The sequence below is a fragment of the Homo sapiens genome, chromosome 17 (assembly GCF_000001405.40).
Source record: "Homo sapiens chromosome 17, GRCh38.p14 Primary Assembly".
NCBI lineage: Eukaryota > Metazoa > Chordata > Mammalia > Primates > Hominidae > Homo > Homo sapiens.
The window spans coordinates 82,101,385-82,114,628 of NC_000017.11; the positions used below are offsets into that span (position 1 = coordinate 82,101,385).

At 56.1% G+C, this 13,244-nt stretch overlaps 1 protein-coding gene across 27 annotated transcripts in view, besides 7 other annotated features; it reads right to left on the reverse strand.

Annotated features, from left to right (window-relative positions):
* Positions 1-85: 85 nt before the first annotated feature.
* Positions 86-13,244, reverse strand: part of CCDC57 (coiled-coil domain containing 57) — a 111,373-nt gene continuing 98,214 nt past the window's right edge. For 16 of the 27 annotated variants that reach the window (XM_047435772.1, XM_011523549.4, XM_011523548.4 and 13 more), the window contains one exon: positions 11,641-12,381. In XM_047435772.1, the coding sequence (XP_047291728.1) occupies positions 11,960-12,381 (422 nt within the window). In that variant the 3' untranslated portion in view covers positions 11,641-11,959. Of the gene's footprint in view, positions 483-11,640; positions 12,382-13,244 lie in introns of those variants that run through there. The other 11 variants (NM_001367828.2, NM_198082.4, NM_001394669.1 and 8 more) reach the window with 2 other exon arrangements.
* Positions 2,479-3,392: an enhancer, noted in NCBI's record as "H3K27ac-H3K4me1 hESC enhancer chr17:80061739-80062652 (GRCh37/hg19 assembly coordinates)". NCBI's record gives its function as "activates a minimal SCP1, AML or CMV promoter by ChIP-STARR-seq in naive H9 embryonic stem cells {active_cell/tissue: H9 hESC(naive)}" and the evidence as "EXISTENCE:reporter gene assay evidence [ECO:0000049][PMID:30033119]".
* Positions 3,393-4,306: an enhancer, noted in NCBI's record as "H3K27ac-H3K4me1 hESC enhancer chr17:80062653-80063566 (GRCh37/hg19 assembly coordinates)". NCBI's record gives its function as "activates a minimal SCP1, AML or CMV promoter by ChIP-STARR-seq in primed H9 embryonic stem cells {active_cell/tissue: H9 hESC(primed)}" and the evidence as "EXISTENCE:reporter gene assay evidence [ECO:0000049][PMID:30033119]".
* Positions 4,588-4,637: an enhancer, noted in NCBI's record as "active region_12986". NCBI's record gives its function as "activates an Ori minimal core promoter by ATAC-STARR-seq in GM12878 lymphoblastoid cells {active_cell/tissue: GM12878}" and the evidence as "EXISTENCE:reporter gene assay evidence [ECO:0000049][PMID:35858748]".
* Positions 4,678-5,007: an enhancer, noted in NCBI's record as "active region_12987". NCBI's record gives its function as "activates an Ori minimal core promoter by ATAC-STARR-seq in GM12878 lymphoblastoid cells {active_cell/tissue: GM12878}" and the evidence as "EXISTENCE:reporter gene assay evidence [ECO:0000049][PMID:35858748]".
* Positions 5,238-5,627: an enhancer, noted in NCBI's record as "active region_12988". NCBI's record gives its function as "activates an Ori minimal core promoter by ATAC-STARR-seq in GM12878 lymphoblastoid cells {active_cell/tissue: GM12878}" and the evidence as "EXISTENCE:reporter gene assay evidence [ECO:0000049][PMID:35858748]".
* Positions 6,137-7,050: an enhancer, noted in NCBI's record as "H3K4me1 hESC enhancer chr17:80065397-80066310 (GRCh37/hg19 assembly coordinates)". NCBI's record gives its function as "activates a minimal SCP1, AML or CMV promoter by ChIP-STARR-seq in naive H9 embryonic stem cells {active_cell/tissue: H9 hESC(naive)}" and the evidence as "EXISTENCE:reporter gene assay evidence [ECO:0000049][PMID:30033119]".
* Positions 9,202-9,251: an enhancer, noted in NCBI's record as "active region_12989". NCBI's record gives its function as "activates an Ori minimal core promoter by ATAC-STARR-seq in GM12878 lymphoblastoid cells {active_cell/tissue: GM12878}" and the evidence as "EXISTENCE:reporter gene assay evidence [ECO:0000049][PMID:35858748]".

Consider the following 13,244-nt stretch of genomic DNA (forward strand, 5'->3'; position numbering starts at 1 on the left):
CACGGGCAGGCCAGGCTCTGGCACAGGCACTTGATACTGCATTTCCCAAGTAGGACAGATAAACAACGCTAAGGCCAAGCAGACGCCCCAGGGAGGAACCTGGTTTTAATGGGCCCTGTGCTCAGGGAGGCCTTCAGTCAGCAGGGTCGCCTCAGCAGCATTTGGGAGCCTGCCCTGCAGCTCCCTGCCTCCACCCTGCACGCTGTGCCCACACCCCCCCACAACACGTAGGTGAAAGCACAGGCACCATGCGGAGGCCCCGAGCACCCCTTAGTGGGGCGGGGTGGGGGGAGGAAGTCAGTCCATAATGTTGTAGTTACGGATCTTGGGGGGCCTCTGGCAGCCTTTAGCTTTTGCAGGATGAGACCGGGAGGCTCCTGTGGTCTTGGCCTTTGCCTGGGCTGCTGTCTTCATCCCTGGGGTGGCAATGCCTGCCTGCATCTTGACGGGCCTCCTGTCGGCTGCTGGAGGAGCTGGGAGCTCTGTCAGGTAAAGAGGAAAAAACAGCATGCATCAGGATGGCAGGGGGAGCAGGAGGCTGTGCTCACAGGCACTGCACAGGTGCAGCACTTCCGTGTTCCCGGCCAGCGGGGGCCCTGTGACCCTTGGCCTGGCTTTCCTCCAGGAGTCCGTGAAGGCCAAAGGATCCTGGAGTGACCAGAGAGCTGTGGCCTCGCCTTGCTCAGTGGGTCCTGCTTGGCAGGGACTGGGCCTGCCCCTCCACTGGGCACCTGGACATGTGGCTCTGAAAATGGTCCTGTTGTGACCATTTCGTAATGGGTCCCAGGAGGGGGCAGGGGTGCTGTGTGGTAATGGGTCCCAGGAGGGGGCAGGGGTGCTGGGGTAAATGGTTGACTCAAAGCTCCTCCCCCCAGGCTGCCCCGGGTGTCCCTACCATCTGAGACACATTGCCTGCCCCCGCCTCCCCGATGGGCCAGCAGTGCCAGGCTTTTGAGGCCAAAGGAAAGGCCGTGCTGGTGGGCACCACGTGGCCAGGCACAGGCCAAGGGCCCAGGAGTGCGCTACACACAGAGGCTGGGGCCTAAATGCCAGATAGCCCTTCCTAAACATCGGCTAAAACCATCTTCGCAGAGGGGTGTTGTAGGTGATCTTCTTTATCTGGCCAGTTTTTCTCTATTTTTCATTTTTTCAATTAAGAATGTGGGGGTTTTTTTTGGTAAAACAACAGCAAAATGTTACTAAAAATCCATGCAAGGGCTGGGCTTGGTGGCTCACGTCTGTAATCCCAGCACTTTGGGAGGCCGAGGTGGGTGGATCACCTCATGTCAGGAGTTCAAGACTAGCCTGGCCAACAATGGTGAAACGCCGTCTCTACTAAAAATACAAAAAATTAGCCGGGCACGGTGGCGGGCACCTGTAATCCCAGCTACTTAGGAGGCTGAGGCAGCGGAGTCGCTTGAACCCGGGAGGCAGAGGTTGCAGTGAGCCGAGATTGCGCCACTGCACTCCAGCCTGGGCGGACAAGGGCAAACTCTATCTCAAAAAAAAAAAAAACAAAAAAAACCCCACAGTAAGATGTGAGCTCAGCGTCCACTGCGTGGCCACACTGTGGCTGGGGTGAGGTCTAGAGGACTCCAGCACGTGGCTGAATGTGGCCCAGTGGGCAGTCTGGACAGGCTGACCCAGGCAGGTCAGCGGGCGGCCAACGCCTCCTGCTGGAGCCCAGCCTGTGTGGTCTGCGTGCAGCCTGGGTGACTGGGAAGCGTCTGTGCTTTGGGGACACCGGCAATGACGCACTCTCAGCTGGGCTGCGCAGTGCCCATGGGGGCAGCCACACACTCCCAGCCCTGGCCCTGGGCCCCTCTTCCCATCTCAGCTTCTTCCACTCCGATCCACTCTTGGGGTCTCAAGACACCCGGAACCAGTCTTCCTTTTCCTGCAGCCCCGTTGGGGTCACACAGTCCCTGGCCCCCTGCTGGGGTCCTGGGGGGCCCTGGACGCTGCCTGCTCCCTTTGTTTCCAACCCCCAGAGGAATTCCTCCTCTTCACACAAAGGCTACCACCCTTTATCTCTCAACAATAAGCCTGCCTGACCTCCTGGTCCCGGCCAACGCCCCCATCCCCACTCCCTCCCCCCACCCCCCACACTGGCTGGCAGAGGGTGGGGTATCCCGTGGAAAGGGCTTCCTGCGGGGAAGCTGGTCCTCTGACCAGGCCCTAGTGCTCCACTGTGACCCTGAGGCATCTCCTCAAACCCAGAGGCCTTGGTTGTCCCTCTGTAATGCTCAGGGATTCTGGGGGCTTTGCCCGGCTTGATCCTCCTCAGACAAAGCCTGTGGGGATTTTCAGAAAAAGTGAGCTGAGGGAGGGGGGTGAAGGGCCTGCCCCTTTGCCTGGGAGGCCTGAGCTGGCCCTGCTGGGAGGACCCTGGCTGTATCCCGGGGCGAAGCAGGGAGGTGTGAGTGGGTCACAGTCCCCGGGGCAGGGAGGGGCAGGGAGGGGCAGGGAGGGTGAGCTGGCCCCCTCCCCAGGGCAGGCCGGCCCCTAGCTCAGAATATCCACTTTACAGGCTCTGGTTTCTTCACTGGTCCTTTTCCTGCGGAGCCCTCCTCAGTGATGGTGGCAGGGAACTGGCCATGAGCCCAGGACCCCAGGGCAGCGGACAGCCCCAGCCCAGCCAGTCCTAGGTCAGAGGCACGGAGCTGGATGTGTCAAGGCGGCTGCCCCAGGCGTGACTCCCTGTGACCCCGGATTCTTCTACCTGATGCTAATCTGAGGTCAACCCAGTAACTGGTGTGTAAAAACGCTCTTGGCCTCCACCACTCTCTGCCCCGCCTTCTCGCCTGACCTGTTTTGCCGAGCCTGGCCGGGATTTCTCTTTCTGCGTTGGGCTGACTGGGCCGCAGGGAAACCATGTGGACACACAGTTTGCCGGGCACAGCGTGAGGAACGCGCCTCTTGGGTCCTGCACCCCTCCCCCACGGGCTGCTTGTGCTCTGGCCCCGAACTGAGCTTCTGGAAAGTTCCTGAAACATCCAAGGCCTTGCAGTGATTAACCAGGGGAGGGGGACTGGGGCCTGCTTGCCCCTCCCAGGCTTAACCCCTCCCAGGTCCTGGTGTGTGCTGAGGCAGGGCCACCCAGGCTGGGCTCCGTCCCCTCAGGCGGCTGCACCATACTTGGAGGGTTTTTTAAATTTTTATTTTTATTTTTGAGACGGAGTCTCACTCTGTCGCCCAGGCTGGAGTGCAGTGGCGTGATCTCAGCTCACTGCAAGCTCCGCCTCCCGGGTTCACGCCATTCTCCTGCCTCAGCCTCCCGAGTAGATGGGACTACAGGCGCCCGCCACCACGCCCCGCTAAGTTTTTTGTATTTTTAATAGAGACGGGGTTTCACCATGTTAACCAGGATGGTCTCGATCTCCTGACCTCGTGATCCACCCACCTCGGCCTCCCAAAGTGCTGGGATTACAGGTGTGGGCCACCAAGCCCGGCTTGGAGGTTTGAAGCTGGTGGAATCTCAGGGAGGACATAGCCTGTCCTATTGCAGGGAAGGTGCGGCCCTCACTCCCGTCTCAGCCTGGGGGCATGAGAACTCTGAGCACAAAGAGGACGGAGCTGGTCCCCAGCTTTCTGGCCACCCTGTGAGTTTCTTCTCCTGCACCTGAGCCTCAGCTCAGCTCTTGACCAAGTTGGCCTCTGGTGGCTCATTCTCCAGGCTGCTCCGGGCTCTCTGGGTGCCCCTGGGCACACCTACGTGGCTTCCTAGGGCTTTGGGAAGGGCCAGACGGTGAGCCCACGCCTTCCCTGGTTCTCCAGAGCCTGCCTTGGGGCTGGGGAGGGCCTGGCCCTGATGGCAGCTCAGGCCTCAAGTCCATTCTGTGGCACAGAGGCCCTTCCGTCTCCCTGTGGCCTCCGCTGCTCTGTGTGGTTCACCCCTGCTGTGTCAAGGGCCCTTGTTCTGCTGAACCCCCTCTGGCTGCCACAGGGGTCCTCACGCACCCAAGATCAACCCTTCTCAAATGCATCTAGTTATTTCCAAGTCTCTTGGGAACAAGGCTTTTCCCACCACTGTCAGCACGGCACCCAGGCCTTTAGTGCAGACGGTGACAGTGAATGTGACTTGACTCCCCCCACCCCGAATCTCCAGAAGCTGCGTGCACCTTTCCAGGGTCCCCACGCCTGGGAGGCTCACAGGCCACGCCCACCCGTGTCTCCCCAGCCTGCGTCAACCCTCACCTGCTAAAGTCTCCTAATGGACACCCCCACCCCTGAGCTCCTGGAGCTCAGCCCTGGGGGGTCACCGTGGCCCCGGGGCTGCCTTTGTGGGACTGAGTGTGACAACAGGAGAGCAATGGGGTACAGGGGGAGGGAGGCCCACGTGATCTGGTTCCCACGGTCCCTCCACAGGGGGACACTCCGGGCCTGCTATGTCCAGCTGCCTTCCCCACCTCACTGGCACATGGAGCCTGGAGCCCCCACTGGGCAGATGCACAAGAGGGGAGGGTACTGGACATTGCATGCTCCAGGGCTCTGGGCAGTCCTGCCACCCATCACTCAGCCTGGTGAGGCAGGGCCAGCAGGAAACCCCAGATCCTTCAGGCCCCGCCTGCTGGCCTTTGGAGCAGAGGAGAGGTGGGCCCTCGGGGGCCTGGGCGCCGACCACAGGCTGACCCCTTGTTTCATGCCAGCACCTCCTCTGGGCGCCTGTGGCTACTCCCCCAACGGCACTGGCAGGTCCCCTGCTGCTGCTGAGCCTGCCCAGGCCTGTCTGCTACAGCCTGTCAGTGTTGCCCAATGTGGGCCCCATCCCAGCCCTTGAGAGGAGTCACCTAGTAGTGGGGTGCAAGCTGGAGCCCCAAGGAAGGGAATTCAAGGGAAACACATCGTGGGCATAAGGCTTTGAGAGACGTGGGTCTGTCCCTACCGGAGGCTGCATCACGGAAGGCGGGCACACAGGCCTCACTTGGGCGAGAAGAGACCCAGAGACGCATGGCCTTCCTCCTGGGCCGGCTCCCGACCAGAGCCCATCTGAGCTCAGCCCACAGGAAGGGGAGGTGCCAAGAACCCCAAGCACAGGTGGCTGCAGGCTGGTGGGTGCCGAGGAGGCCACTAGGAGGCTGAGACGGTGAGAGCCAGGGCCAGGCAGTGGCCTGAGAGCTGGACAGCCTCTGGGTATCTCCACACCCCACCCTTCTCCTGCCTTTCAGAAGAGTAAACGCAGGAGAACGCCCTGAGGCCCCGGAAGGAAAGTGACAGGCAGCGGCTGAGCTGGGGCGACAGGAAGTGGCAGCTGTCTCCGCTGTTTCGGAGGCATGGGAACTGTTTCCTGGTCCTAAAGTGAGGAATGCTGGCCTCATGCCCCTTGGGCCAGGACTCTGCACTGAGTGCTGAGTGCCTGGGCTGGTGTTTAGACGACTCGTGGTCTCTGTTGGCACTGTCTGGGGACAGCAAAAAGCAGCAGGGGCCAGTGTGCAGGGGAGATTCTGGGTAAAATTCATGAAAAGGGAACTTTCAAAAGGGGCCCATGGGGCCTTCCCAGGTCTGCCAGGCCAGCTTACAGCTCCAGGTGGGCACCCTAGCATCTCAGGGCCATAGACCAGCAGGTCACCGCCATGTCCCCGGGGAACAGCACTGCCTGCCACTCACTTTGCCTGAGACCCGTGTCTCAGGGCTGCTCCCTGCATGTCTTGGCAGGAGGGCGGACAGCTGGGAAGGAGGCCACACGCTCCTCCAGGGAGCCTGGCTCTGCAGGAGCTACGCCAGCCACACACTTATCAGCTGCCCGACCTGCTCAGGACACTGAGGGCCACATGCCTGGCCAAAGGCCTCTCCCCACTCCCTCTTCTCCCCTGGAGACCAGGCCCCTGGAGTTGCTCTCCAGAGATCTGGGCAATGACCCTCTGGATCCCAGGGTTTTTGGTTCCCCTGGGAAAAGAGGCAAAGGCCCACACACCTGCAGCAGGTTGGGGGTGGGGGGATGCATGGCACAGTGGCTTGGCACCCGGGTGGGGCACAGATGCCGCGGGAGTGGGGAGTGGGGAGTGGCTGCCTCGAACCCTGCTGTGTGGCTTGTCACCCTCCATGGCGTCTCTGCGCCTCCGTTTGACTCCAGCTGCACGGCACACGGGGCGAGGTTAGCATCAGGGGCCAAAGCGGACCCCCGCCAGAAAGGAGGAAGAGGCCCCCAGGTAGGTGCGTGCTTCTGGACCTGGCGCTCGGCACACTGTGAGGATGGGCGGATGGAGTTGGTCTGCAGGTTCCAGAATGAATGGGGCCCTGTTGTGACAGGAGAAGGAGGGCAGCCTGGGTTGAAGAAACACCCCCTGCTGTCCAACAGCTGCACTGCCCGCTCCCCTGGCAACACCTGCCACGTGGACTGGAGAAGACACATTAGCCCTTGGGCTGGAAGTCGTGGACCGGCGTCCACCTGAGATGGGACTCTGGGAGGGAACAGCCGCCGGCCCTCCTGCCTCAGCTGCTCTCAGCATCCTACAGTGCCATCGGGTGCTCTCAGGACAGATGCCTACAGAACAGGCTTTTCTAAAGAAAGGGGGTGGGCTCCAGGGCCCAGAGTCACGGCACGGACGAGGGGGCTTTGGATCACTCTGCACACACCTCAGGATGGAAGTCCTGGTCAGCAAATGCATGAGCATTTCTGGTGGACCCACCTGCTCCTGGGGCAGGCTGGTCTCTATCCCCATTCCCAATCCCACGTGCCTCCTTGCCTCTGTCCACGTGATGTTGGAGCAGCAAGCCTTCTCCAAGCTCAGAGTCAGAGGCCACAGGCCACTGTCCCCTTGGCCAGGCCGCAGTCCTTGACTCTGGAGCACTCGGAGAGCAAGTGGCAGAGACGAGTGACCTGCGGCCGCTCTGGCGCTCTGCCTCCTAGTGAGATGAGTGTCATGGCTTGCCCGGGTCCTGGAGTTGTGCTGAGAGAGCACCTGACCTGTGATCCCACCCCTGAAAACGGGCTCCTCTGTGGACAGCCGGGCTGTTCTTGCTCCTCGAAGGAGTCCCCCAGCCCCTCAGGAAAGAGGTTCGGCCCTGGTCACAGACTGGGCATAAAATCTGCATATTTATAGCAGGGTCCGCCGAAAGCCTAAAACAACAGTGAGTTTCAGGGCAGGATCTCTCTTGCTTGTGTTGCATTGGTGTCATGTTATCGCTGGCTCTGAGTTTTAAAGGGAAATACACAGGGTAGTGCATGTGACGGTGTCCAAGACGCACAGCAGATTTTCATTCACAAAAAAATCTGACCACAAGAGCTAAACGGAAATACCTTCCGCTGTCCTTCCCAAGTCACAGAGCAAACACCTCAGTTCCCAGGGGTCCGCATCAGTTCTGGTGGAGGCGGTGACTGTGAGCGTGACCAGCTGGGCTAATTCGTCCTGACATTTAGTTGGGACAGCTATAGTTTCCTACCTCTATGACCAGAGAGTGAAGCGTTTCACTGAAGAACTGTGGCCGGCGTCTCCAGGAAAGGAAGGAGCCTCGCTTTCTCCAGGGCAGGGGCAGCGTGGGGCGGGGCAGGCCGGGTGTGTCTGTGGGGAGTGGGCGCGTGCTCACACTCTTTAAGCTGCGACTGCTTCCTTTAGGACAGAATGAAGTTCTTCGAGGAGGCCGATGAAGACAGAATATGGATAAGGCCAAACCTACACAAAATCCTTCTACATCTTCATATCAAAACATGTTAAACATAAACCTCCAAATACCTACAGGGATACAAGCACAGGGCTTCCTAAACAGGCGGGATATGCAGCCTCGTTCTATCCCAGGCCCACACAGAAAGTGTTGGGGGAGTCACTGAAGGAAGGAGGAGAAAGAGCTCAGAAGAAGCCATAAGAGAGCAAGACATGGACAGGAAACCAAGTGGCCCCAGCGCCCCGCAGGAGAGCTCAGACTCCAGGGCTGGGGTGGCGCAGAGCGGGGCGTGTGGAGCGCATGCCTGCGAGGGGCCTACGAGGCGGCTGCGAGGCATAAGGTTCTGTGAGCCCGGTGTGAGCTGGCAGATGTTACCACAGGACAAAATTAGAATGTGTAACTTGTAAAACAGCAGAGAAAAACTTGATTTCTCCCATGTAAAACAAGAATGTAGGAAAATGAAACAAATGGAAAATAAATAATATGGAGATTAAGTTCCAGTAGACAATAGTTCAATGGATATTTATAGATGAGTAAACTGACTAATGAAAAAGAATTCTTAGATTGAACTTTTTAAAAATAAAGATCCGGCCAGGCGCGGTGGCTCACACCTGTGATCCCAGCACTTTGGGAGGCTGAGGCAGGTGGATCACGAGGTCAGGAGATAGAGACCATCCTGGCTAACAAGGTGAAACTCCGTCTCTACTAAAAATACAAAAAATTAGCCGGGCGTGGTGGCGGGCACCTGTAGTCCCACTTACTCGGGAGGCTGAGGCAGGAGAATGGTGTGAACCTGGGAGGCGGAGCTTGCAGTGAGCTGAGATCGCGCCACCGCACTCCAGCCTGGGCGACAGAGTGAGACTCTGTCTCAAAAAAATAAAAAATGAAAAAAACAAAAGATCCAACAATAAAAGATCCAGTTAAAAAGACAGAAAAAGTAAAAATTAAAAAATAAAATAGAATTAGGCAGAAAACGTCATAAGAGGCAAAGAAGTCTGTTTTTTTTTTTTTTGAGACAGAGTCTCACTCTGTCACCCAGGCTGGAGTGCAATGGTGTGATCTCAGCTCACTGCAATGTCCACCTCCCGGGTTCAAGCAATTCTACTGCCTCAGCCTCCCGAGTAGCAGGGATTACAGGTGCCTGCCACCACGGCCAGATAATTTTTGTATTTTTTGTAGAGATGGGATTTCACCATGTTGGCCAGGCTGGTCTTGAACTCCTGACCTCAAGTGATCCACCCTCCTCGGCCTCCAAAATGCTGAGATTACAGGCGTGAGCTGCCATACCTGGCCAGAACTCTGTATTTTAAAAGGTAAGACTTCAGATGCAGAAAAAAGAAAAAAATAAATAAAAAGGTACAACTTCAAAACATGTCAAGTACTGACGGACAGAGCTGCAGGAAAGAGGTAACTGAGAGTAGATGAAGCTGTTAACTCACCCATGTTCCTCAAAAACAAACAAACCCATGTCCTCCTGGCAAAAACTCATTCATCAACGGGGACTGGTTGGCTTGAGTCATGAGGCACAGGAGGTCTAACCTTACAGGTAGATGATTCACTTTCTCTTTCGGCAAACAGACCATGCCTAGAATCTCATCATACCAGGCCACAGAGCAAGTCTCAATTCATTTCAAATGTAACACAATAAAATTTGAAACCAACATCAAAACCTCTCATCCTGCTTCTGCTTCAAAATTGTAAAACCTACTACTGAATAATTTTTGGTTATAGAGAAAATCATAAAATGAATTATTTATGCCGGGCACGGTGGCTCGCGCCTGTAATCCCAGTACTTTGGGAGGCCGAGGCGGGCGGATCACCTGAGGTCAGGAGTTGGAGACCAGCCTGACCAACATGGAGAAACCCTGTTTCTATTAATAATACAAACATTATCTGGGCATGGTGGCACATGCCTGTAATCCCAGCTACTCGGGAGGCTGAGGCAGGAGAATCGCTTGAACCCTGGAGGTGGAGGTTGCGGTGAGCCAAAGAAAAAAAAAAAGAAAAGAAAAAAGAGCATATGTGCAGGAGTAGAAATAGACAGAAGACAGCCTCATCATCTCCTCAGCACAAAAACAGAATCAAAGACAGACTTTGTTTGTTTGTTTTTTGTTTTTGTTTTGTTTTGGGACGGAGTCTTGCTCTGTTGCCCAGGCTGGAGTGCAGTGGCGCGATCTCGGCTCACTGCAAGCTCTGCCTCCTGGGTTCACGCCATTCTCCTGCCTCAGCCTCCCGAGTAGCTGGGACTACAGGTGCCCGCCACCATGCCCAAGCTAATTTTTTTTGTATTTTTTTTAGTAGAGACGGGGTTTCACTGTGTTAGCCAGGATGGTCTCGATCTCCTGACCCTCGTGATCCACCCACCTTGGCCTCTCAAAGTGCCTAGGGCCCTTTTTTTTTTTTTTTTTTTGAGAGGCTGTCTTGCTCTGTCGCTCAGGTTGGAGCGCAGTGGCGTGATCGTGGCTCACTGCAGCTTCAACCTCCCGGGCTCAAACGATACTCCTGCCCCAGCCTCCCAAGCAGCTGGGACCACAGACATGTGCCACCACATCCAGTCTTCTTATCTTTTAAAGCATGTTGGGCCTTGTTTTGAAATAAAGTTAGGTTATATGTTTTCTTGTTTTTTGTTTTTGTTTTTTGAGACAGAGTCTGCTCTTTCACCCAGGCTGGAGTGCAGTGGTGCGATCTCGGCTCACTGCAACCTCTAGCTCCAAGGTTCAAGTGATTCTCGTGCCTCAGCCTCCCAAGTAGTTGAAATTACAGGCACCTGCCACCATGCCCAGCTAATTTTTGTATTTTCAGTAGAGACGGGGTTTTACCAAGTTGGCCAGGCTGGTTGTGAACTCCTGACCTCAAGTGATCCATCTACCTTGGCCTGCCAAAGTGCTGGGATTACAGGCGTGAGCCATGGTGCTCGCCTTCTTGTCTTTTAAAGAGTGTTGGGCCTTGTTTTGGGTGAAAGTTGGGTTATGTGGTGTTTTTTCTTTTGTTTTGTTTTGTTTTTTGAGACAGGAGTCTGCTCTGTCACTCAGGCTAGAGTGCAGTGGCGCGATCTCGGCTCACTGCAACCTCTGCTTCCCAGGTTCAAGTGATTCTCATGCCTCAGCCTCCTGAGTAGTTGGGATTACAGGCATGCACCACCACACCTGACTAATTTTTGTATTTTTAGTAGAGACGGGGTTTTACCAAGTTGACCAGGCTGGTTGTGAACTCCTGGCCTCAGGTGATCTGCCCACCTCGGCTTCCCAAAGTTCTGGGATTACAGGCGTGAGCCGCCATGCCAGGCCTTGGATTTCTGTAGCTGCAGTTTCTCAGGCAGGTTCTAGACGAGCCTTCACTGCAGACAGCATCAGCCCTGTTCCCACGGTGTGGCTCCTCCTGAGTCTCCACTGAATGTCCACAGTGATCACTGGGGACCCATCCCCCTGGCTGGAGCTTCAGTATGTCATGACCGTGTGCGAGGTCTGGAAGTTGTTCACCTTACATGCTCCTTTCTCCTCTTTGCCTGGCTTTGTGGAGTTTTCTTCTATACATGTACAGGCTGGTCCTCAGTACAGACTCAAGAGAACCCTGTGCAGATTTCTGGAGCTCTTTTCTGCAGTTTCCTCCTTGCGGGATTCTGCCCTGAAATGCCGGCTCCTTCTGTGTCCCCAGACCCTAGTGCAGTCTCAGCTCCGTAAGGGTGCTCAGCTTTGCTCAGGCCCTGCTTCCCTCCCTGTGCCGGCAGCCCAGAAACGGCCTTCAGGCAGAAGGCCAGGGCCCCAGGGTTCACCTTGCCTGTCTCCCTTCCAACAAGGGTGGCGGTCTTGTCCGGGATCTCGGACTCGTCCAGGGTCTCGGTCTTGTTGGGGATCTCGGTCTTGTTTGACCAGTTGTCCAATGTCTGCAAACAGTTGTTTCATATACTTTGTCCAGTTTTCTAGTTGTTCATGGAGGAACATTAAAGTCTGGTCCTTGTAACTACGGCCTGGCCAGAAGCAGAAGTGAGTGCCAGCCGTTGTGTGGGCATAGAATAAATATTATCAGAAAGTAAGCCGATTTGGTTATTTCTTAATGTATTTACTTTGTTCTAAAAGTTATTTCAACACAAGTTACTTTCCTAAGTGGCAGTCATGGTTTCGTCACTACAATTTCAAGAAAAGAGCTAACAGACATCTACTTGACCATCTGTTTCTCAGAAAGTTCCAAGACTGCCCTGTCCTTTCAGAAGCCACAGGTCATGATAATCAGTGAAGGCGGGGGGCTGGGGTTGTCCGTGCCATTCAGGGCACCCCAGTGCTCCCTTCTTGGCCAGAGCACTGGTTCTTGGATTCCTGTAGCTTCAGTGACAAGGTGCTGTGGGGCTGTGCATCCAGCCTCATAAAATGTCACCAGCGTGACCTGCTCTCTCAGTCACAGCTTGTCCTGAGAGCAGCAATGGGACTAGAACGACAGGAGCAGGTAGTGAGAAACAAGAGAGCAGGGTCCTCTCCTTCCTGGACAGCAGGACTGTCCTGATCCCACTGCAAGGCTGCTGTGATGGTGACCAGTGAGGCCCGCGCTGCATGTTTTTGCACACTGAGGAGCTGCCTCCATTCATTCCCCCTCGCATTCCTGGAGCCCACGTGCTCCTTACCAAGCTCGCCTCCTGGTTCATGTTTGGGTGAAGGGCTCCACTCCACGCCAGGCTGGGCGTGGGGCCCACACCTGTCATCTCAGCACTTTGGGAGGCCAAGGCGGCAGGACTGCTTGAGCCCAGGAGTTCGAGACCAGCCTGGGTGACATAGTGAGACCCCATTTCTACAAAAAAATAAAATAACATGTAAAAAGATTAGCCAGCTATGGTGATGTGCACCTGTAGTCTCAGCTACTCAGGAGACAAAGGCAGGAGGATCACTTGAGCCTGGAAAGTTGAGGCCACAGTGAACCAAGATTGTGCCACTGCACTCTGGCCTGGGCAACAGAGCGAGAATAAAGTAAATAAATAAGAGCCCCAAGGCCCCCTTGCCTGCCCTGCAGCTTGGTCTTGCAGCTATGTTGGGCTGTCCATCTCACCTTGGCCATCAGGAGCCTGACGTGCACCTTCTAGTGCAGGTTACCTGGGCCCTGAGGGGGTTCCCTCGTCAGTACACAGAGTGACGCCACAGATGGAAGAGTGGACTGTAACGTTCCCTGCGCGTTTACAGAGGAGGTACAGACTGTTCTTCACTGTCCCCGTTTCTTAACATGTCACAGCCGGCTCCTCACCCATCCATGGCGGGGCCATCCCGACCTGCTCTCCTGAACGAAATGAACGAAAGCCCTGGGTGTCATAAGAAGCACAAAAGTGCCTGCGGAGGTGGGGGCCAGAGGCAGCATGGGGACTTCTGGCTGGGTGAGGGGGGAGGGACGGGGGCGTGAGGATGAGCTGGTGCTGAGGCCAAATGCTCAGGGCATGTTTTTATGTCTTGGGAGCCCAGCTGGTCCTGCAGAGGCCAATCACACTGAAATGCCACTCTGGCGTTCTACCATCCTTTCAGGAAAGGCCCAGAACAGTCTCAGCTCAAAAGCACAGGACCCCAGGCAGGGGAGGGAGGGAGTGTGTCCTCGGCGCCCACTGGCTCCTGAATGCAGAGGCTGGCAGCCCCTGCAGGGCCACAGTGACTAGGTGGAGGGCGGCTGGA